This window comes from Homo sapiens, chromosome 8 (genome assembly GCF_000001405.40).
Source record: "Homo sapiens chromosome 8, GRCh38.p14 Primary Assembly".
Taxonomy (NCBI): domain Eukaryota; kingdom Metazoa; phylum Chordata; class Mammalia; order Primates; family Hominidae; genus Homo; species Homo sapiens.
Genome location: NC_000008.11, coordinates 67,633,030 through 67,658,155, shown reverse-complemented (window position 1 = coordinate 67,658,155; position 25,126 = coordinate 67,633,030). Strand labels below are relative to the sequence as shown.

The 25,126-nt window shown below is 40.7% G+C and overlaps 1 protein-coding gene across 3 annotated transcripts in view, besides 1 other annotated feature; it reads left to right on the top strand.

The window, feature by feature from the left end:
• CPA6 (carboxypeptidase A6) overlaps nucleotides 1-25,126 on the top strand; it is a 324,323-nt gene that overhangs the window by 88,205 nt on the left and 210,992 nt on the right. The gene's annotated exons all lie outside the window — the stretch shown is intronic.
• Nucleotides 17,490-18,303: an enhancer, noted in NCBI's record as "H3K27ac-H3K4me1 hESC enhancer chr8:68552088-68552901 (GRCh37/hg19 assembly coordinates)". NCBI's record gives its function as "activates a minimal SCP1, AML or CMV promoter by ChIP-STARR-seq in naive H9 embryonic stem cells {active_cell/tissue: H9 hESC(naive)}" and the evidence as "EXISTENCE:reporter gene assay evidence [ECO:0000049][PMID:30033119]".

Here is a 25,126-nt window from a genome sequence, read left to right as displayed (position 1 = left end):
GTGTTATAAGATGAATAGGAATTCTTCAGACCAGTAAGGTAGGGAAGAGTATTCGCTGTAGGAGGAACAAAAAAGACAAGAAAGGTCTGAGTCAGCACACCACTCCAAGGAAACGAAAAGGACGCCAGTGTGGCTGAAAAACCAGCATGTGGGATGGGTGAGGAAGGCAGGAGAGGAGGTTGGTAACAGGATCTTCAGAACCTAGAGTCATGGCTGGCAGGAGGCGGGAACTCAGGAAATATTTATTTAGTGAATACATGATCAAAGGTGCATCTCACAAAGCCTCTCCTGGTGGCTGCAGGGAGAGTGCACTGGCATGAGGAGAAAGTAGAGTAAGGAGTCTACTTGGCAGGTCCTGCAGAACCAGTGGAGTCATTAGAGCTTGCGTGGAGGGAGGACAGAAAGACAGGAGAAAGAGAAGACAAGGTATTGGAAAAGCATTTAGCTATCCTGAGTATCTGTATTCTACCTACAAAAAGTAGTTTAGAACCTTCTAGGTTTAAAGAAACTTTGATTCAACAGACATTTGCTGAAGGCCTATCAGGAAGCAAGAGCTGGGCTGGTTGCTGGAGATACCAGTGAACACACCACATCAGGTGTGGAGAGAGCCTACCCTTAGCAAGGAAGATGGGTTGAACAATTTATCATTGCTATTGACTTATAAAACCTCTTCTTCTGATACTTCTCATCTTTTAGAGAAAGTAAAGGATATTTTTTAAACTGCTAGGTTTATAACACAGATATTTGTTGGTTTGTGTGTTTACTTCTTTGTCCTAGTTAAGAATTATATAGTTACATTTTCTTTATTCTCCAGCAACATCAGATTATTTTTCAGAGATATGCAATAGTTTATTCCTATTCACAATCACAAGTCTGCTGTAATCACGAAGGACTTCCTATCAAGCATTTTTTAAGTTACCTTTTTAATATTTTTTATCACTATTTCTTTCTGGATGAAAATGGAAGAAGAGGAAAGAATTTATAATCAAATATTTCCCAGTTTGTATCTTCCTCACCCTAGTTGAGATTTGCAACCATACTCTTCTGAGCCATTGCTCCTGTTCCTGCCAGTCCTGAATCCGGAGACACCATGTGTTTAAGCAAAATAAATTGAGAGATTAAGGGTAGGGAGATGGGAGGTAGAAATAGAACATAGGATCATATTCTTCATTTTTTGATTTTACAGTTTGGAGAAAATGGCATCGTACTGCCTCAGCTCCCCCAAGTGAGTCAGGCTTTGATGCCAAATTATTTGGAAATACTTTGCCTAGATCCAAAGGCCTAGCCCCAGTGACACATCCATTTGGCTCCAGCACTCTGTTCTTCTGGACCATTAAGAAACTCCACCAAACTCACAAAGGCCATCCTTAAAATCCCATGGGTTGTAGGCCCATACAGATCCTCATTTTCATATAGCATATGACTTCTTTACAAGGAGCCTTCATTTCTATTCTCATTGAATCCCTCCAAGGCTCTCTTACAGAGGTGAGTTTACACCCTTTTATAGATAACCAGACATTGGGGAGGTTAAAGACTGAGCCAAGCCTTGAACCCTACATTGATGACATGAACTTGAGAACTCTTTCCACCTCAACATGGTCATAAGGTCAGGCTCACAACCCAGCATCACATGGGGATATCACATCACCAAGAGTCCTCTGAGTTCTTTGTCATGATCTGTGCTCCATGAGCCTTAAATTAGAAGTGACCAAGGTCTGGAGCTGACCAGTCATTGCTGTGCTCATCCATGTTTCCTGCCCTGTAACATTTGTGGGAATAGTTGAAGAGAGTAGAATGGGATACTGGAAAAAGAGATGTCTCAAATAGAAACTACTTTAAATCAACAGTGTTTACAGTTATGGGTTTCATGGGAAAGTAGAATGGTTTCTGAACTCAGGGATGTGAGAAAATCAGTTGCGACTTTGGTTGATGAGATTAAATGACCCAGGCCAGGAGAGGACAACCAGCCAGCCCTTTCTTCTCCAGAATTCTTTTCTCACACAACTCTGTTTAGAGTCTGGGCAAAGGAGGCAAAAACAAAAACAAAGCAAAAGAAAAACCCCAACTTCTCCAATTGCCTGCCCTTGTTTGCTTCCCTGCTTCCACAGAGACTAGAAGAAGATTACAACACACACCAAAACTCATAAAGCCCATAAGCCTCCTGGTGATAGCAACACCAAGTATTTTACGTCCAGGTAAGGAGATAGGTAAGATGTAACCTTGGAAAAAACAGAGCCAGAGATCAATGAAGGGGAAAATTCTATACAAAGACATTTTCTTTTTAAAATCCTTTTTCAGATACTGTCTTCTGTCTTTTGCCTCCTCAGTGTTATGTCTCTCTGCCTTTCAATTCACACAGTGGTGGTAGTTTTAAAATCAGGGATTGCAGAGATTGAACATTCCTTTTTAATGATGCCCTTAGAGTCACACAGGGGCCTCTTTGCTATTTCCAGCTAAGCTCACCCCTCCTCTTTTCCTGGAACTTCTGAAAGGGCCCCAGAATCAGCCTATGTGATCTGCTGCAGCATTAGATTGAGAGGAGGGTTTGCTTTTTCCACAGATACTGATTAATGCAGGACCAAAGAATTCCACCAGAATAAAATGTTATTTTTTAGCAGTTTTGAGTAAAGACTTTAAATGGTTTTCATGACAAACCATATCAGGGGTTTAGGATTAATCTCAAGAAGGACATAGTTCCTCATCCCTTTCCATCAAAATCCTTTTCTCCTAATTCCTAAGTTTTGTACGTCACAGTAGGTATTCTCTCTCCCCAGCTCATTAGAGTATATGAAATCACAGACACTGTGCTAATGGTAGCTGGATCTCTGTTGTGAGATTTTACTGCTATTCTATTTATAAAATGACAGCCAAAAGACTTGCATATGCTTTTTTCCCAGTATATAAATTTGTAAAGTAGAAGCATGTTGGTACTGTCTTTTTATTAGAATGATCAAAGTGTATCAATAAGAATTGTATCAAGGATTCAGTAAGAATCCCTGTTATAACAAAGAAACCCCAGATGCATTCAAGGACTGCCTGGTTGAAACACTCCAGACCATTTTACATGTCTGAGAGATTAAATAATTCTCTTTTATTGTGTAACCTTGTAACATTCAAAGAATGCCTGTATGCTAACTAATTTTATTCTACTGATTGTACTGTAATGAAGGGGCAGCATTATCTGTGTCTTACATAAAGAGTACAAAAATTAAATCATTTGCCTCAAGTTTCAGAGCGAGCAATAGAAAGCTATACTAAATCCAAAGTGCAGAAACAGAAAATTAGACAAATCTGGCCACCTATCATCGTAAGCCCTTGAGGCCTGGGGCAGTGTAGAAAAAGAGGAGACCAATTTACGTATGTTAGAATGATTTCATGATGCCTCAGAACCACATTTTCAGCCTCACTTGGAGAAGGACATTGTCAGAGATTTTACAGATTGGCAACATCCTGTACAAAACTCTCTTCATCGGTTGCCCTAAATTCTGCCCCAACCCATGTTATGTTATAAAAGGAAATGGCAGAGAGAAGAATCAAACAGACACAATAAAAAATGATAAAGGGGATATCACCACCGATCCCACAGAAATACAAACTACCATCAGAGAATACTACAAACACCTCTACGCAAATAAACTAGAAAATCTAGAAGAAATGGGTAAATTCCTCAACACATACACCCTCCCAAGACTAAACCAGGAAGAAGTTGAATCTCTGAATAGACCAATAACAGGCTCTGAAATTGTGGCAATAATCAATAGCTTACCAACAAAAAGAGTCCAGGACCAGACGGATTCACAGCCGAATTCTACTAGAGGTACAAGGAGGAGCTGGTACCATTCCTTCTGAAACCATTCCAATCAATAGAAAAAGAGGGAATCCTCCCTAACTCATTTTATGAGGCCAGCATCATCTTGTGATACCAAAGCCTGGCAGAGACACAACCAAAAAAGAGAATTTTAGACCAATATCCTTGATGAACATTGATGCAAAAATCCTCAATAAAATACTGGCAAATGGAATCCAGCAGCACATCAAAAAGCTTATCCACCATGATCAAGTGGGCTTCATCCCTGGGATGCAAGGCTGGTTCAATATATGCAAATCAGTAAATGTAATCCAGCATATAAACAGAACCAAAGACAAAAACCACATGATTATCTCAATAGATGCAGAAAAGGCCTTTGACAAAATTCAACAACGCTTCATGCTAAAAACTCTCAATAAATTAGGTATTGATGGGACGTATCTCAAAATAATAAGAGCTATCTATGACAAACCCACAGCCAATATCATACTGAATGGGCAAAAACTGGAAGCATTCCCTCTAAAAACTGGCACAAGAAAGGATGCCCTCTCTCACCACTCCTATTCAACATAGTGTTGGAAGTTCTGGCCAGGGCAATTAGGCAGGAGAAGGAAATAAAGGGTATTCAATTAGGAAAAGAGGAAGTCAAATTGTCCATGTTTGCAGATGACATGATTATATATCTAGAAAACCCCATTGTCTCAGCCCAAAATCTCCTTAAGCTGATAAGCAACTTCAGCAAAGTCTCAGGATACAAAATCAATGTACAAAAATCACAAACATTCTTATACACCAATAACAGACAAACAGAGAGCCAAATCATGAGTGAACTCCCATTCACAATTGCTTCAAAGAGAATAAAATACCTAGGAATCCAACTTACAAGGGATGTGAAGGACCTCTTCAAGGAGAACTACAAACCACTGCTCAATGAAATAAAAGAGGATACAAACAAATGGAAGAACATTCCATGCTCGTGGGTAGGAAGAATCAATATCGTGAAAATGGCCATACTGCCCAAGGTAATTTATAGATTCATTGCCCTCCCCATCAAGCTACCAATGACTTTCTTCACAGAATTGGAAAAAAACTACTTTAAAGTTCATATGGAACCAAAAAAGAGCCCACATCGCCAAGTCAATCCTAAGCCAAAAGAACAAAGCTGGAGGCATCACACTACCTGACTTCAAACTATACTACAAGGCTACAGTAACCAAAACAGCATGGTACTGGTACCAAAACAGAGATATAGATCAATGGAACACAACAGAGCCCTCAGAAATAATGCCGCATATCTACAACCATCTGATCTTTGACAAACCTGAGAAAAAACAAGCAATGGGGAAAGGATTCCTTATTTAATAAATGGTGCTGGGAAAACTGGCTAGCCATATGTAGAAAGCTGAAACTGGATCCCTTCCTTACACCTTATACAAAAATTAATTCAAGATGGATTAAAGACTTAAATGTTAGACCTAAAACCATAAAAACCCTAGAAGAAAACCTAGGCAATACCATTCAGGACATAGGCATGGGCAAGGACTTCATGTCTAAAATACCAAAAGCAATGGCAACAAAAGCCAAAATTGACAAATGGGATCTAATTAAACTAAAGAGCTTCTGCACAGGAAAAGAAACTACCATCAGAGTGAACAGGCAACCTACAAAATGGGAGAAAATTTTCGCAACCTACTCATCTGACAAAGGGCTAATATCCAGAATCTACAATGAACTCAAACAAATTTACAAGAAAAAAACAACCCCATCAAAAAGTGGGCAAAGGATATGAACAGACACTTCTCAAAAGAAGACATTTATGCAGCCAAAAGACACATGAAAAAATGCTCATCATCACTGGCCATCAGAGAAATGCAAATCAAAACCACAATGAGATACCATCTCACACCAGTTAGAATGGCAATCATTAAAAAGTCAGGAAACAACAGGTGCTGGAGAAGATGTGGAGAAATAGGAACAATTTTACACTGTTGGTGGGACTGTAAACTAGTTCAACCATTGTGGAAGTCAGTGTGGCGATTCCTCAGGGATCTAGAACTAGAAATATGATTTGACCCAGCCATTCCATTACTGGGTATATACCCAAAGGACTATAAATCATGCTGCTATAAAGACACATGCACACGTATGTTTATTGCGGCACTATTCACAATAGCAAGACTTGGAACCAACCTAAATGTCCAACAATGATAGACTGAATTAAGAAAATGTGGCACATGTTCACCATGGAATACTATGCAGCCATAAAAAATGATGAGTTCATGTCCTTTGCAGGGACATGGATGAAACTGGAAACCATCATTCCCAGCAAACTATCACCAAGGACAAAAAAACAAACACCGCATGTTCTCACTCATAGGTGGGAATTGAACAATGAGAACACATGGACACAGGTAGGGGAACATCACACTCCAGGGACTGTTGCGGGGTGGGGGCAGGGGGGAGGGATAGCTTTAGGAGATATACCTAATGCTAAATGACGAGTTAATGGGTGCAGCACACCAACATGGCGCATGTATACATATGTAACTAACCTGCACAATGTGCACATGTACCCTAAAACTTAAAGTATAATAATAATCAAATTTTAAAAAAAAATAGAATAGCTCTCGCGCTATTCTCTACTAAATTATGGCTGCTTCTCTCAACATGTCGTTTTACAGGAAAATGTTCCTTGAATAGGAAATGTAAGGAAAACCGAAACCAAAATTATACAGCAAAGAGAATACAATGAGTGTGTTTCTTGTGAATACATGATTCATGAGGCTAATACTTTGGGAATCAGTTCAAGGAAAACAAAAAATCATGAAGCCCTATCATATCTATATAGAAAACAACAATACAAATAAAATATTGAGCATTAAAAAATAAATAAATAAATAAAAGGAAATGGCGTGTGGTGTGAGGCAGAAGAGAAGCCAGTATAGAGGCCGAGGTTTCTGATGTTTGCCATTAGGCAATTCCATGCTGCATAATACAAATAAAGCCATTTCTACTCAAAAATCTCTCACTATTCTAGACTTCCAGAATCTCAGAACATTTAAATCAGTGTTTCAGGATTTGGTACTTACACATTAAAAAGTCCTACAACACATAAATTTTATTCACCAAATGAGAAAAATTACCTAGTAAGAAAGCACTAAAAAAATGCAGCCTGAAGGAAAGCAAAGACCTTCATGTAATCACAAAGCCATTAAGTTTCATGTAAATTCCTTATGGGGAGACAAGGAAAAGAAACAAATTAGTTTTTACCTTTGAACATAGCTTACAACAATTCTTTGATTCTTTGGCTTCTCAGTGGCTAATTTTAGACTGCTACTATTAACATCCCCTCACTGATTATTCTTAAACTTACTCCTGAGCTGCTGTTAAATGCCAAAAATCTGCAGCCTCAGAATATCCTTCCAGAAGGCTTTGGCTTGTAGGAGCCTGACAAGATTATTCCCTACTCCCACTCCTGCAGCCTCTGTACATTAAAACCTACCAAGTGGTCCCCTGCTGGCAACCCATCAATCCTCTGTGCAATTTGTGAAAGACAATCCGACAAGAGTATAGGCAAGTGCGTGTGGGATCAGGTCTTGATTTTTATATATGAACATCGTAGACAGTCTCCCATCCCTCTTTCCTCATGATGAAGCCGCCATGAATTTTTAAGGTGTATCCCTCCACTACCACCACCTCCCCAGCTACAATGCAGAAGTGAGCCTCAATAGACATGAACCAGCCAGCACATGGCATTTCTCTGGCACCATGATTTATTCATGGATGTCCATGGCACCTTATTTGGTCCAAGTAGAGTGAAGTTCAAGGCTTTTGCTTTTAGTAGTTGGAGCAGTACCTCCTCCTCCTTGACAGTGGGGTGTATGGATGTGAGGCCTAGAACTGCTGCTGCCCTTTTGTGACAGTAAGGGAAGCCTGCTTAAATGAACAGATGAACATAGAGCTAAGAGAACTGCAGAGAATGAGCTAGAGTCCTGATCGAACCCCGCTGACCTACTGCTGGCCCTTTCGTTTATATACAAATAATTTTCTATTGTAATTTTGTCTAATTTGAGGTGGTTTTCTGTTAATTTGGAACCAAAAGCATGCTGGTTGATATGATTGCACAATCATATTTCTTAACCATTGAAGAAATTGTTCCAGAACTGGTTACATTTATACAGCCAGCAGTCTCACCACCAAAAAAGAAAAGTAAGTTCAATCTTTCCTCCAGGAAAGGGTCTTAAAGCCCTAAACCACATACAGCCCCCATATAAATTTAATACAGGAAATAATAAAGGAAAAAGGAAAGGGCAGATCCAGGTTTTAGAGATTTTCCATGTGAAAATGACAATCTGACTTCCTGAGTCTCAGCCTCACTCTTTAGACTTTACTAATTCTTTGTCCTCGTTTCCCTTCAACTGGTGTCGTTACTTCTCCATGGGCTGCTTGCAATGTTGTCACTTTGCCGCTTTCCCTTTCCTTTTCCTTAAGTCTTCATTCACAGCATCCACCACCATTCAAGAAGCATTTTTTTTGGTCAGACTGAGCTTAAATTTCAAGATTGTTTTTGCTTCCTAGAAATTTCCAGATTCAAAAGAACAAGTCACAGGCGGTCATAGCTATACAGTTCTCATGCCAACCATGGCTTATAATGAACAATTTGGTACGAACTACTGACCATCCTTCTAAAACACTGAGTGACCCTTAAAAAAATTCAACCTTAGTTCCCAATGCTCTTGTGTATATACAAATAATCATTGCCTTCGTTTACTATTTCCTCAAATCCTTAAAAATAGAAAGAATCAAATATACTGCCAAAAAATTTAGCCAATTGTTAAAAAATCATAAGAGGACCAAATGAGATAGTACATGGAAAGTCTTTAGAAAAAGCTCAAAAATAGTAAGAATGAAAAAAACTATTGGGCATCATTGTAATTTATTATTGTTGGATATCCTGTTGTTAGGATTAAAGTAAAAACATCAAACATTACAAAGAGACAAGTTCCCTGCAGACTCTTTAGTTCAGTCAGTTGTCACTGATAATTTGGATATGCCTAATTATTCTTTACAAAAAACAGATAATTCCAGATTCACATTGCATGCAGATGTTTCCAATATCATTTGAAATAAATTCTAGACATTTTTGTCAACATGCCAAGGATTTTTAAGCAGAGAAAATGTAGGAATTTAGAAATATTAAGGTTTTGTGCAGTTATTTTCGTCTTTCCATGAAAAAAAAAATCCAATGCCTTGCACTGCTCTTTTGCCTTCTGTGTGAACTGTGCATCCATCAAGAGGTAAAAAACAATCACCTCCAAAGATGTAAAGATCATTCACATATTGCAATATGTGTGTGTTTACCATTAAAAAAAAAATTCCCTCCCCAAACCAAACTAAAATCATCAAAAAAGAAAATCCCCAAACCGAGGAACACATTTGGCAAGAACATAAACAGAGCCTGGTTTGTTTTCCCAGTTTCATTGATGATATTCCCCAGTTCTATTCTAACAGTCATTTCAACCAACTCTTATTTTTGGTTAACAAATAAAAGGCTAGTTTACAAATCTGGCTCACAGCTTCCAATGGAACTTTTCCACAGCTTTCTGTAGCTGCTTTATCCCTTTAACACACCAAAAGAAAAACAAAATTCTGCATGAAAAGTTTCAAATAAAAATTCTTAAAATCTCTGGTAGAGTTAAAACCTCACAGAAATTAGTACTCCCATTTTTCTCACCGATGTGGCAGACCCTGTATTGGCTTACTCAGAAACTATTCCAACCTCTTCCTTCTGGGCCTTTCTTGCCAGCAGAGGCTACCAAAACCCAAGCTGCTTTGCAATGAGGGTTCCAGACGTGACTTATGCTCCATTTGCTCAAGACTTGAATTTGGAGCTGAGTAAGTCTGGAGCTGGCAGTATGATGCAGCACAGCCTTCTGTGTTGGGCCTAAAGGCTTAGCAATGCCGTTCTTTACCCCTTCTCTCTCATTCCTCAAAGGATTTTGACTGAAAATGTAAATACTAATTTTATACACGGAATGAAGGAATAACTAAGAAAAGAGAAGGTCTAGCAAAAAAAAAAAAAAAAAAAACCTAATCTAGGAAATTTGAATACTATTTCTGATCTTTCATCTATTCTCTAAACAGTCTCTGCGGTACATAGGCAGAGTATAAAACTGAAATGATGAATTATATGTTGATGACTCCTCAATTTATATCTCCAGCCCTAACTTCCTCCTAAGCCCCCTATAGGGGCCAAAGGAACTTCCCCTTTGTCCTCTGAAAGTTCTCTGAAAAAAAATCAACTGACAAAGGCAGATTAATAGGACAAAAAGCATACAAATTCATTAGCATTCACAGGGGAAGATCATAGAGTGATACCCAATATCCCAGTGGGATACAGATGCTTCTATACCCTACTTCTTAGGGAAAATGGAGATAGATGTAGATGATTTTAGGGGGGTAGTAAATGATTTTTAGGGGGATTCAGTGGGCTTGAAGAACATATAATGGCCTGGAACATACTCTGTTGGGCCTATAGAGCAGACAGTGGTTTGTGACAAAAGTCTCTCCAGGTACATTGACAGACTTCAGCCTTTCTTCCTGTAATGTAAGATCCGTTATTGAAAACTCAGAGAAAGAACCACAGGTAATTGTTTTCTTCTTTATTGCGTCCAGACTTTAGGCAGATAAGGGAACTTCAGAGAACAATTTCATTACATTCTTTGGGAGACAATTGAGAGACAGGAGTCAGGGAAGGTCTAAGAGACCTTGAGGCTGCTTCTTCAGTTCAGCATATCAAAGCATCGTATTTTGTGGCATTGGTTTCTGAGCTGCAACACCTCAAATTAACATATCCAAGATTATCCTGTCAAATCCAGGCATGGTGTTATGCACCTGTAATCCCTGCTACTTGGGAGGCTCAGGCAAGAGAATTGCTTGAATCCAGAAGTTCAAGGCCAGCCTGGGCAACATAGTGAGGCCCTGTCTCTCAATAATTTAAAAAAAAAAAAAAGATTATCCTATCATTGTCTAATAGCATCTCAAACTTAACATACCCAAAAAGGAAAAGGAGCTTGATATTTGCTGTCAAACCTGGCTCCAATGTTCTCAAACTCATTGAAACATACATCCTCTGTAACTCCTCTTTTCCTCCCTCTCCTGTGGTCATGTAAATTCAGCAGTGGACCCTGTTGGTTCTCCCTCTGATAGATCCTAGATCTTGCCTTCTCTTTTACTTCTTTAGATAAGCCATTTTCCTCCTAGGCTGTGTCAATTGTCTCCTAACTGATCATCCCTACTCTCCCCTTTCTCTTCCCTTTCCCTGTAATCCATTTTCCACATAGCAGCCAGAGTGAGCTTAAAACTATAAATTAGATATCATTCTGATTTAAACTCTCTAAGAGCTTTCATTGTGCTAAGAATAAAAGCCAAACTTCCTATAGGGCCTGCCTCCCTCCCTAACACTGCCTCTTTCCAGTCTCAGCTGCAGAAACATGGACTGTCTTCCTGTCCTCAAACAGGGCAAGCCTATTCCATCTCAGGGCCTTTGCGCTTGTGTTTCCTTTGCCTGGAGCCCTCTTCCCTCAAATCTTCCCCTGCAGGCTCCTTACCATCCATGTTTTATTTCAAAAATTGATTCATGGGATCCTTCCATGGCCACCCAATTTGAATTAGCACATCTGCCCCACTCCACTTATGATCAAATTACCTCTTATCTTATTCATGACCCTCATCACTACCTAAAATGATGTTATAATTGTTATTCATTATCTCACCTGTTAACAGTGATGTCTTTTTTCTCTCCCAAGATCTTCTCCTTGACAACTCCACAGCACCTCCAGAGAGGTTTGCTCGGTTGGAGTGTTACCAACAAAGTCGTTCCCCCACCAAAAATGGGGTATTTCCCTGTTCGATCCCATGAAGCCAATAGGCAAAACCAAAAGTGAATGTCTAGCAGTGCAGGCTTTATTTGATGGCCATAGGATTGAGAAGCAGAAGCTTGGTTCAAAAATCAAATTCTCAGCCCATGAAAGCCAGGAAGCTGGAAATACAGGGCATCTTTAATGAAGGGGTTGAGCATTAAAAGAAAGGGGAGGAATCTTCATGTCTTTTCTGAGAGTTGGTAGAGAACTCCTAGAAACTGGAGTGCTGCCTGCCTTTTTGTCTTTTTATGGTTGCTTCCAGTCATTCTCATGGTGTTTGTCACCTGTCATGGTGCTGGTTGCAGTGTTACATAGCAGAGAGATCAGACTATAATGAAGTTAGAGGTTCTTCAGAGATCAAGTGGGCTGTCATCTTGGATCCCACCAGTCTTAGCCATTTTGGTCAGGAGAGAGAACTTTTTATCTCAGGCATTTTCTTTCCTAAAGATAAGCAGAGTTAAGGCAGGGTAGAAATGCACCTAGGTCAGGTAGGCATCACACTGGGTAACAAGAGGAATTACCATCTTCTCAAAGAAAGAACTAGAAACCAGTACAGACAGCTAAGAAAGTGGTTTCCCAACTTCTCTACTCATGTCCCTCAAGAAGAAATCTGGAAAATAATGTATCCCTTATCTACTTTTGTTTAACTTGATAAGATCAGAAGACCTGGGAAAATTAAAATATTGACATCATTATATTTGTTCCAACACAATAATATTTGACAAAAAGGTATTACGTGCTTTAAAAAATAATTTTTCTCTAAACCTTGAAGCTGCAAATATAGCTTATTTAGGAAACCATGTGTTATATCGTTTAATTGGCAAAGACAAACTTCATTATTATACTAGTCAGCCCAATCACTTACTTTCTGTCAGGAAAATCAGCCTTCATCTTTCAATTTATACTTTTCTGTTTAATACACAGCCCCTTCACAACCCTTTTCCTTCTTAAATTGAATTCTAGGATATGCCAGTAGATAAGATACAAAGCTCTGTCCTGCATTTGTTGCCTAAATGAAATTCATGCCGTGATCTTCAACATTTTTTTACCGATTCTCTCATTCACTCTTAAGGCACTCACCTTCAGGAGCAATGCATTTTGTTGTTAATAGGTGACAGAAAAAGTGAGGTTGTTAGATATAAATTATCAAGTCCCATTCCTCTCAACATGATATATTTGAATATAGACTTTCCCGTCCTATTTTTAATACCATACTTAACCTTACGATCTGATGTGATATATGATACAATGTGATATGATGGCAGAGAAAGACATGAAGTCCTACCTCAGGCTTGCGGTGCCTCATTTAATTATTGCTTTTTTTGATACCCCTGAGAATTTTTCACCCTCAGAGCAAGGCACTACAGTAATATATAGGATAGAGGAAAGTTTTGCCTTTATTCTGAAAAGTATTAGGGGTGTGATTGTGAAGGATGAGGGTAGGATCGTAGAAGTAGAGTAACAAAACCTCACCTATAGGTGCATTCTGAGACACGTGTGTTTTAGGCAAGAGTATGTATGAATGCTAAAGAACTGGAAATTCACTGCCTTGAAAAGATCAGTTTCCTTATTCCCCTCGGAAAGTCTCCACATACCCCAAGGGGTGTGAGTACCACAGCTTAATGACAGCTGGGCCAAGAAGCCTGGTTCCCTTTGGCCCTTGCTGCTGTTAGGGCCATGTGGTATTGCTCCTGACATGTGCAAGCCAACAAGAGTCTGTCCCCTTCTTCACTGCTCATCAATCTGGGAAAATACTACTCCCAAATCCTAAAAGTCCCCACAGTCTGCAATCCCTCTTCAAGTTCCGGTGCACAGAACTGAATGTATATCTAACAGCAAGAACATGCTTGTAAGAGCTCTGCCTGTGCAAAAAGTCTGGAATTTGCCTCTATTCACACAGAACCCAGGACTTCACATGTTAGAGTTACTGTGCTTTTGGGGTTATGCAAGCTCACACACACCCTGCTATTTTACCCAGGGCATCCCTGCAAGCCAAGACAGCCATAATGGCCGGGCATGGTGGCTCACGCCTGTAATCCCAGCACTTTGGGAGGCCGAGGCGGGCGGATCACGAGGTCAGGAGATCGAGACCATCCTGGCTAACATGGTGAAACGCCGTCTCTACTAAAAATACAAAACATTAGCCAGGCGTGGTGGCGGGCGCCTGTAGTCCCAGCTGCTCGGGAGGCTGAGGCAGGAGAATGGCGTGAACCCGGGAGGCGGAGCTTGCAGTGAGCCGAAATGGCGCCACTGCACTCCAGCCTGGGCGACAGAGCGAGACTCTGTCTCAAAAAAAAAAAAAATAAGACAGCAATAATGAAATGAGTTTAGAATGGCAACCATGCGGTCTTTAAGGTACTGCCAACCCCCCTCAATCTGCATTGTGATATGAAGAGTGGAAGATGTCTCTTTTTCTCCATTGCTCAACCAAGTCTTATTTTCTTTCTCAGGATAAGTGTTAATTCTTTCAGTGTAGTAAACCCACGTTGTTATAACAAGCCAGTGTCTATTTTTTTCTATGTGATCTATAGACATCGCTACCTCAGAATCACCTGGGATGCTTATCAGACCTACTGAATTCAAATTTATGGGATGGGGCCTGAGAATCTACATTTTCTACCGGTACTAGGTCATTCTTTCTCTTTGATGAAATTTCATATGTAAATAAGTACATATGAATATATATGCAAGTTTTAACAAATAATTATACAACAAACACCTATATGTCCACCACTCAGCTAAAAATGTGAAACACTGCCAAGGTATTTGAATCCTCCCATGTGTACTTCCTTCTTAATCACATCTCTCTTTCCCTCTCCCCTTCCTTCTGAGGTTACCGGTAGCCTTGTTTTTATTGCTCAGTTGATTTAAAAAAAAAACTACCATATATACTTGTATCCCTAAAATCTTATAGTCACTTCTGAAATCTATAAAAATGTAATTATACATTATGTATTCTTCTGTGACTTGTTTTAATCATCAGTAGGATGGTTGCAAGATTCATCCTTGTTGATATATGATATCTGTGGTTCATCTATTTTCACTGCTATATAGTATTCCATTTTTTGGAGAGGTACAGTTTAGTTTTCTACTGTTGAGAAAAGTTTGGGTTGTTTCTAGTTTAGTTTTGTGATTATGACATAAAGCTGCGATTCCTGTATGACTCTCCTACCTCTTGGTGCTGTGGAAATTCCATTGAGAAACTGGTAGTTGTGAAATGATGTCTCCTGTGGTTTTAATTTGCATCTTCCTGCTTATTAAGGATGATATGCATCTATTCATATTTTTGTTCATTTGCTTCGTGTTAATTTCATGTTGATATATTTTGTACATTTTTTAGGTAATGCATCTTTTTCATATTGATACTAATCTTCTGCTTATATGTTTTAAATATCTCCTCTCTAGGGCTTGCCTTTTGACTTTATGGAATATTTTCATGAAAAGTTCCTCATTTTAATATAATTGAATTAATCTTTATGATTTTTCCATCTTGTTTTATAAATACTACCCTATCCCAGGGTCATAAAGATAATTTATGTTTTCTTCTTAATCTTTTAAGGTTTTGCCTTTCAGTTGAATTCTTAATCCATTTTGACTTGGAGTGTGTGTGTGTGTGTGTGTGTGTGTGTGTGAGATAAAGGCCCAAGTTAATTATTTTCCCACATGGATAAGTAGTTGTTCCAGTTCTATTTATGAAAGAGTTCATCCTTTCCCTGCTGATCTGCCATACTACCCCTGTCATGGATCATGTTTCTCTATACATAAGGATCTGCTTCTGATATATTGGACTACCCTCATGCCAGTTCCACAGTCCTAATTACTATAACTTCATACTAAGTCTTTATATTTGGTAGGACAAGAATTGCTCACCTTCTTCTTCACAAGTGCGTTGCCTGTTTCTTATTCTTTGTTCTTCTATTATGGTTTCGATTCAGTTTGTCCAATTCCACCAAAAAAAGTTGAAATTTTGTTTGGAATTGCATAGAATCTATAGATAAATTTGAGGGTAACTGACATCCTTACAGTATTGTTTTCTAATATGTGAATATGGTGTGTCTCTGTTTACATCCCCTTTAATGTCTTTTAATCAATATTTTTTTTTTTTTTTGAGATGGAGTCATGCTCTGTCGCCCAGGTTGGAGTGCAATGGCATGATCTCAGCTCACTGCAACCTCTGCCTCCCAGGTTCAAGTGATTCTCCTGCCTCAGCCTCCCAAATAGCTGGGATTACAGGCGCCCGCCACCATACCCAGCTAATTCTTGTATTTTTAGTACAGTTGGTGTTTCACCATGTTGGACTGGTCTCAAGCTCCTGACCTCAGGTGATCTGCCCGCCTCGGCCTCCCAAAGTGCTGGGATTACAGGTGTGAGCCACCATGCCCGACCTAATGTCCTTTAATCAAATTTTATAATTTCCTCCCTAAATAACTTGTGTATCTTTTGTTATATGAATTGCTAGGTACCTTACATTTTAGAGAACTGTATATTTGTATGTAATCTCTGTATGTTGCTAATGTATAGAAATTCAAATGATGTAAATTTTAATTATATATTACTTTACCATGCTAATTCTCTCACTAGTTTTATAACTGTTACTTTTTTTTTTAAGTTTGCTATGTGGTTAATTGTATCATCTATGAAAACTGGCAGTTTTGTTCCTTCTTTCCAGTTCCACTAGTTTTTATGTTTTGTTCTTATTTACACTAATTCTATTGAATACAAACGATGGTCATAGCATCCTTTTCTTATTCTTGACTTTGAAGAAAAGTGTTGAGTACTTTGCTGCTGAACATGATGTTTGCAGATTAGAAACAGAATAGACTCTCTCCAGCTTACATGACACTTTGCTCTTTTTTAGCTTATACCTTTGTTACACTCCATACTGCACTTTCAATAATTTTTAAAGCTATACTTTCTGGTTCACTAATCCTTGTCTGGGTACATCTAATCTGCTATTTAACCTGTCCATCAAGTTTCTAGTTTTATTTGTTACTTAATTTAATTCTAGAAATTTAGTCTGGTCATTTTATAGTTCCTTGATTATTAGTAATATTTTGGATCCCCTCCTTCATTTCCTAAGAATATTACATGATATATTTATACTCCACCTCAGGGTGTTTGTTAGCTATGGCCCACAGGCCAAGGCCAGCCCAACCAAATCCAATCCAACCTGTTTTTCAAACAATGTTTTACTGAAACCCAGCCAAAGCTGTCTGTTTAATTTTATCTTGGTAGGTTCACTCTGTAATGGCAGAATTTAGTAGTAGTGATGGCAGCGGCAGGCTATCTGGAGCATCCGCTGCCATCATGCCGGCTGCAGCAGAAAGACATGAGTGGTGGCAGCAGGAGCAGCTGCACAAGCAGCAGTGGCAGCGGTGGGTCCCCTGTACCCCATGTCCCTGAGGCAGCCAACTGCATGACCCGCACCCTTGCATGGCTGGGCAGGACGTGCTCCCAGGCCCAGAGCCTCTGTCGCTGCCTCAACCTCACTCCCTGCCGCATCCCAGGAGTCCATGAGCACCCTGCTGAAGGCACAGCCAGAATTCACAGGGCTGGCCCCAGGAGTGTCGGGTTCACTCGTTTGAGGTTGGCCAGGGGCTGCCACTGCTGCTGCTGGGGAAAATGCAGACAGGAGGTAGGGCTGGGACTGCACACTCCACAGAGTGGGCAGGAGCTGGGGACAAGTGGGAGCCCAGGACAAGCTGAAGGGCCGCCTCTTTCAAGTTGGTGGGGCAGGAGCTCCCCAGGCGCAACTATAGCTTCCCAAGCTGAGGCTGAGACCCAGGCACCCCTGCGCTCCTGGGAGCCAGGAACAGGCAGGACCCCTACCCTCCCAGGCACAGCAACAGTCGCCCAACCCACAGGTGCAGACCCAGGCATCTCTACACTCCTGGGGGCCTGCTCCTGCTGTCTGACTTCTCGCCACTGTTAGTTCTTGCTCCAATCATGGAGCAAAGTTGAGGCTGAGCCCAGGCAATTTTGAAACCCAGACAGATGTGTGCACACTCAGGGCAGCGCTAACACGCCAGCTCCCTGCCACCTCGACCCCCTCTGGATTTGGGGCACCAACAAGCACTGGAGGGAGGCCAAAGGGGTACTGAAGGCAGCTCGATGCTGGCCTGCAGGCACCCCTTGGCACAAATAGCCTAGGTGCCATGAATGGCAGCAGGAGGCAGACAGGCTCCTGGGCAGAAGGGGGCAGGTCCCTGGTGAAGCCCCACCTCCAAGCTGGGGGGAGCCGAAGCCTGGGGGCCAGGCTCCCAGTCCCACAGACCAGAGTGGGAATTTGTGGTGCCTTTTCCACGCCCACCCATGGCTGCCCATGGACCAACTGGCACATACTTCCTCCCCTCTGAGGCCCATGAAATTCCCAGACTCAAGGAGATGATGGGACGACCAGCTACAGAGAGAAGCTACCCACCCCAGGGTCTCCTCTCTGCTGAGAGCTGAAGAGACAGGATGACCAGCTACAGAGAGTAGCTACCCTCTCTGCTGAGAGCTGAACACTTGTCAGGACACCCTGGCTATAGAGAGGAACTACCCACTATAGGTCTCCTCTGAGCTATTCTATCACTCAATAAAGCTCCTCTTCATCTTACTCACCCTACACTTGTCTGCGTACCTCATTCTTCCTGGACACAGGACAAGAACTCAGGACCTGCCAAATGGTGGGGCTAAAATTGCTGTAACACAAATAGGGCTGAAACACACCCCTTGCTCACCACGTTGTGGGTGACAAGAAAGGAGAGAAGAGCTGCAGCCCTTCAGGGAGCCCAGACCTAGAAGCTCCCCAAGCCAGGGCTGTGATACCCTCTTTAGGGCTCTGCAGTTCCTGGCATCCCAAGCTTCCGGGCACCACACCATGTTCCCTGGTGTCAGCTGTGGAAGCTGCTTATGGTACACCTTGTCCAGCCACAGCCTTGTAGGGAGCTGGTGCCCATACCAGCATCTGCAGCTGCCTGGCCCAGCACAGTCTGTGTGCCTAGCTGTGTGCAGTAGCTGGACCCCACATTCATTCACATACCCCTTGTAGCTGCATGTCTGGCTCACCCTTGGCAGGCATGGGATCCAGGCCAGTAGCGGGAGCCGAGCACAGCCTGCCAGACTGAGAGAACAGAAGGAGCCCAGCAGGCCAAAGCAAAACTCAGGCAAAGGCACCACTGGCCACAGAGGTTTCCAGCTGGTGAAGCAACACCCCAAGAATCCCATAACAGTAGCAATAGAGACTGTATGGCCAGCAAACCTAAAATATTTACCACGGGGCTCTTTACAGAAAAACTTTCCAACCCCTGCACTATCTGACAATTTCAACAGCGGTAGGCTCTACAGGCCTAATTCTGCTCTTTGTTGTTTCTACTGGCTTTTGCTCTTGTTGGCTTATTTTCTGATGTGCTGTATAATTTTTGATAGTAAGCTCCTATTTGTTAGAACTTTATGGGAGTACTTTGAGACCTGGTTTTAAGATAGATTCCTCCAGAAATGATCTGCATTTGTTTTGGGACCCTAGGGGCAGGGCACATCACAGGCTAAGGTCCCCCAGGAAAGACTCTGAAAAAGAGGCTTGCATGGAGTCACTTTATTAGGGAGTACTCTCACAAACAACATCTGCAAGGAAATGAAAGAAACTGAGGACAGAGGGAGATTTGAACTGAAATGTCATCTCAACAGTTTTCATGGGAAACTCTAAAGGACCATGGATTGGTCCTTCAGTAATGCCTCAAATTGAGGAAAGGGGACGAGGCCTTTGCACCTCAGCATACGCTGCCCCTGGGGGAGTGGTCTTCCTCTTAGATGAAGCACTTCCCTTCAGCCAAAAGCAATTGCTCCAGAAGAACTCAGCTGTGAGCCCTCAGCAGGCAACACTTTGCAGCCAGGACAATGCAGACCTCTGTTCTGCAGGGGTGACTTGAGCAGCACATCACAGTGAGGACTGCAGGGAACTTCTAACCGGATGACTACTTGAACACAAATCCTTAGTTTGGAGGTTTTGGACCATATCAATTTAAATTTTACTAGGTTTATTAGGTTGATTTTTTAGGGTGAATTTCATTCCTAATCCTGCTGGAGGGCTAGCCATGGTTTTAAATTCTCACTATTGACTATATTTTTCCTACCTAGAGCCAAGTTCAAGACAAACAAGTTTTCCTCCTTTCTCCTGTCACAAGGCATTTTGTTCTAGTCATCTTTTCACTAAGGTTTTATCTTTAAGGCTTTACATGGGAGTCTGTGGTCTGAATTCCCACCTTGCTCAAACTCTAGGGCATCCAAGGGCTACCAAGGTGCTCCTCAGTCAGGATAACCACTGGCCCCAGTGTTAGCTTCACTCATTGTGTTGGGCATCTTAGAATTTCTCTTACTGTATTGCCACTCTTGTATATTAAGTGATATACCACATACACAAACACACATGCATGCATGCACACACACACACACACACACACACAAAATTTCTAGCATTACTAAGGGCTTTCTTCTGGAAGGATATTTCAGGGTATTGAGCCCAACAAATTATGCTGGCAGATAAATTCCTAGGTGAATCTTACATATGCTCTAATTTCAAAACCACTAAACTAATGTATTGCTGATGGCCATCAATCTACTGAGCCCCCAAATCTTCTTAGTTTTAAGTATCAAATCTTTTCATGTGTTTTTCTCTGATCACTGCAGCTAAACCTTTTTACTACATATTTTCTATGTAGTTTATGAAACAGTTGCCACGTTACCTTATAATAATAAGGTATTGTTTGTCTTATGTACCTAACTAGATTATACATCTTTGAAAAATTTTCCCCTATGCTTTGTAACTCCTTTCCCTTTTCCTCACACCAGAAACTTGCATGGAATAATTTGCTACGTGGATAAATATTGAATAAATAGTTTGTTCTCCACTGTGGAAACATTTTTCTCAGACTGAGTCCCATCCTTAAATACAACAAGAAAGAACTAAATCGAAGTGTGATACAATGATTTCACACAATATATAGCAAGTCCTTGAGACATAGTGAAGATATCTTATTATAAGAAATTAATTTCATGACATTATTACATGTTATTGCTTTTTCTCCTCTCTGATTTATGCTAATGGGAGAAGAAATTCTCAAAGCATATAATGGAAGCCCATTTCAGGCATTTAAAAGATGATGTGGTTTACAAAAAGCCAATTTCAATTCAACTCAGCAAATATTTATTGATCAACCATTACATGTGAGCTACCGTGAGAAAATTTCTGTTATAAAGTGAAGTCCAGCTGTCAGGTTTCTGAAGACTATGTGTTTTTCTTTTCTCTGCTGTTAAATTAACTGCAACAACCACCACCAAAAATAAAGTCATTACTTCTGCCTAACTTTAATCCAAGAGTGAAGTCTAAATCTTCATGTCCTAAGCAAACTGCCACAGGGAGATTCTTCATGTTCCAAGCACTTTATATTGCAACTATAAACCATAACCAAAGAAGGGAGAATCCATTTAGCTCTCTAGAGCATGTTCTGCCAAGTTGTCTCTTATTTATTGCTTTTTAATGAAATTTTTCATGTGCATCAAAACATAATCTTTCAACAAAGGAAGTGCAGCTCTGAGACCCAAGCACTTTATAATAGAGAATCTGCATGTGAACATTAATTTTTCTAGGTGGAATTACCTAATGGATTTCTTTGTGCTCGGGGATGACATTTTTTTTAAGTAAGTGAACATCCTATTATTAACTTTTCCACAGGATACAAGCTTTCATAAATTTCAGCAAATATTTTAAACTGTCCTGTTTTCCTTGAGAATATGAGATGAGCCTTAGTTATGGAGTACCCTAAATCTTTCCTTCTGAAAACACACAGTTTTTTAAGCTGCCATCAAAATTAAAGGGAGGTTTTAGCGAGAGGGACTTGGGGAGTAAATAAGGAGTGCCAATATGTATATTCTCACCTGTGAAGACTGATTTAACAGTGAATTTAATTATTCCATTGGTTTCTCTTATTCCTCTAAAAATATCCAAAGTAAACTTACTGTTTTACAGGGTGCTTTTGGTTACAAGCAAGAAAAAACCTGACTCAAACTGCCCTACATAATTTTAAAATGTATTATACAACAGGAAGTCCAGCAGCAGAACAAGCTTAAAAGTTGGTTGATTCAACAAGATCATTGCAGACACAGATTCATTTTGTCTCTCTACTCAAGAGTCCACAGTGAGCTTGGGGTGAATCTGCCTCATAATTATAGGCTGCCCATGGCATGCAGAATTGCATATCTGCTTGTTTACATTCAACAAGAGAGAGAATCCTTCCACCCCCTTTAAATAATCCTTCCCTTAAATCTGATTGGGCTAATTTATACCACACATCTACCCCCAAACCAACAAAAGTTGCTAAGGGATATCCAAGTTCTGAGTGGCTAATCGAGACTCAGTTCTGATATGGGGATAGGGTGAATATCTGAGCAGAATCAAAGTCCTTTTAGGGTTTCAGACAGGAAAATAGATTTGGAGGAGCAGCAAAAAACATCACTGCAGTCATCTACTCTGGTCCCTTGTGAAGGGCAACATTAGAAATCCTTTACTACATCTAGGTAAGTTTGGTCTTTGGAAGTATTGACAAATTGAACATGTGTGGCTTATACCAATAGAGAAAACATCTCTACAGGACTTTCTCTGACATTATTTTTTTCTTTTTCTTTTGAGTTTCACTCTTTGTTGCCCAGGCTGGAGTGCAGTGGCATGATCTTGGCTCACTGCAACCTCCACCTCCCAGGTTCAAGTGATTCTTCTGCCTCAGCCTCCCAAGTAGCTGGGATTACAGGCATGCACCACCATGCCCAGCTAATTTTGTATTTTTAGTAGAGACGGGGTTTCACCATGTTGGTCAGGCTGGTCTCAAACTCCTGACCTCAGGTGATCCCCCCTCCTTGGCTTCCCAAAGTGCTGGGATTACAGGCATGAGCCACCATGCCCAGCCCCTTTTTCTTTTATATAAAGTGTTCCATATCCCCAGTTACCATTGTAGAAAATGAGACCATCCAATATGTGCATTTCTCAGATGCCAAAGAGCTGCCTGAGCAGAGAGAAAACAGTAAATCCCAAATTAAGGCACTGATCAGAGATTAGGTTCAAATATCCATGCAAAGGGCAAGAAAAAATGCCAGCAGCAACAACAAAAAGGTTGAATGTATTCGGAATCAAATTGTGTCATGTTTTTTGTGGTGTTCACAGTGGAGCAAACTTGGAAAAGCATGTTATCAGTGCTTTAAGTTCTAGGCTGGGTGCAATGGCTCATGCCTGTAAACCCAACACTTTAAGAGGCCGAGGTGGAAGGATCAGTTGAGTGCAGGAGTTAGAGAACAGCCTGGGCAACATAACAAGACCCTGTCTACAAAATTTTTTTTAAAAAATAGCAGGGCATAGTGGTTCACACCTGTTGTTCTAGCTACCTGGGAGGCTGAGACAGGAGGATGCTTGAGCCTGAGAGGTTGAGGCTGCAGTGAGTCATGATGGTACCACTGTACTCCAGCCTGGGCAACAGAGTGAGACCATTTCTAAAAAAAGAACTAGAAGAATATTTTCCTGTAAAAGTAATGACACTAGCTACTAAGTATTGAGAGACTATAAATTAGGTATTTCCCAGACGATATCTCACAGGGATTGTGACTATAAACTCATCACCAGCAGGAACTGCTGTCTCCCTGGCATCTACCACTGTGCCTGGAACATAATGTAACCTTCATAAATGTGCTGGATGAAATAATTTTCACAAAAAAAATATGCAGTGGTTCATTGGTCCTTCCCCTCAATTTAAGGGTTAGAACTCATTGGTTCTAAGTGTTTAAGCATTTTGGCCAAGGGCACACATCAAGTGGTGGAGCCCAGATTGTAATCTAACCTTACTCTTTCTCCCCGCAAAGTGAAGAAGGAAGTGGATCCTACAAAATAAATCCAGTGTGGCTCACGCCTGTAATCCCAGCACTTTGGGAGGATGAGGCGGGCTGATCACAAGGTCAGGAGATGGAGACCATCCTGGCTAACACGGTGAAACCCCGTCTCCACTAAAAATACAAAAAATTAGCCGGGCGTGGTAGCGGGCGCCTGTAGTCCCAGCTACTCGGGAGGCTGAGGCAGGAGAATGCGAGAATGCGGGAGGCGGAGCTTGTAGTGAGCCGAGATAGTGCCACTGCACTCCAGCCTGGGCGACAGAGCGAGACTCCGTCTCAAAAAAAAAACAAATAAATAATAATAATAATAATAATAATAATAATAATAATAATAATTAAATCCAGTGACTTGGAGAAAGGAATGAAAAAAATGAAATATCTGAAGTTTAAGTGTTTTTAACACTAGTGGATTAGGAAAAACACCCTAATGATGTCATTTTAATTCAATTCCGTCTTTGAAGACCCTATCTTCAAATGCAGTCACATTCTTGGATTGAGGGAGTTAGGACTTCAACATACGAACTTCAAGGGGAAACAATTCACATATCCGCACTTAGACACAATATGCAATAAAAATTCCAGATGATTTTAACGAAACATGGAGAAAGAAGGAGGAAAACATTTGGGGGGAGAAGGATAGAGAAAAAAAGATTCTTAAGGTCTTATCTTGTTCAAGGGGACAAATTACAGAGACATTCTAGACATGAAGAAAACGGTGTCTCAAAGTATGTTTGTAAAATACAAAAAAATCACTAATACACAGAAGGTGCATAACTTGCAAACCACTAGATAAGAAAAATCTGACGAAGAAAATTGATTTTTTTTTTTTTTTTTTGAGACGGAGTCTCGCTCTGTCGCCCAGGCTGGAGTGCAGTGGCGCGATCTCTGCTCACTGCAAGCTCCGCCTCCCTGGTTCACGCCATTCTCCTGCCTCAGCCTCCCGAGTAGCTGGGACTACAGGCGCCCGCCACCACGCCCGGCTAATTTTTTGTATTTTTAATAGAGACGAGGTTTCACCATGTTAGCCATGATGGTCTCGATCTCCTGACCTCGTGATCCACCCGCCTTGGCCTCCCAAAGTGCTGGGATTACAGGCGTGAGCCAACGCGCCCGGCCCAGAAAATTGATTAATCCAAGAAAGAGGAAGAAAAGGGCAATAAGAACCTACAACAAACAAAAAATAAAAATTATAAGAATAAATTCACATATATTATGTATTACAATTAATGTGAATAAGTGAAATTTCCAGTTAAAAATGCCAGGCAAACAAAAAGAAAGCAGGAGTGGCAATCCTATGGGGAAAAAATGGAATTTAGGATAAAGAGCATAAAATAAAACAAAGAAGAGTTTTTCTAAGGAAGCTTTATAGGAGTAAAAGTTTTATTCTGTCCAGAAGATGTAGTAGTCTTGAGCTTATATACAGTTACACACATCAAAATATATGAATCAAAAGTTTTTATATTCAAAAGTAAATTGAAAAATCCAA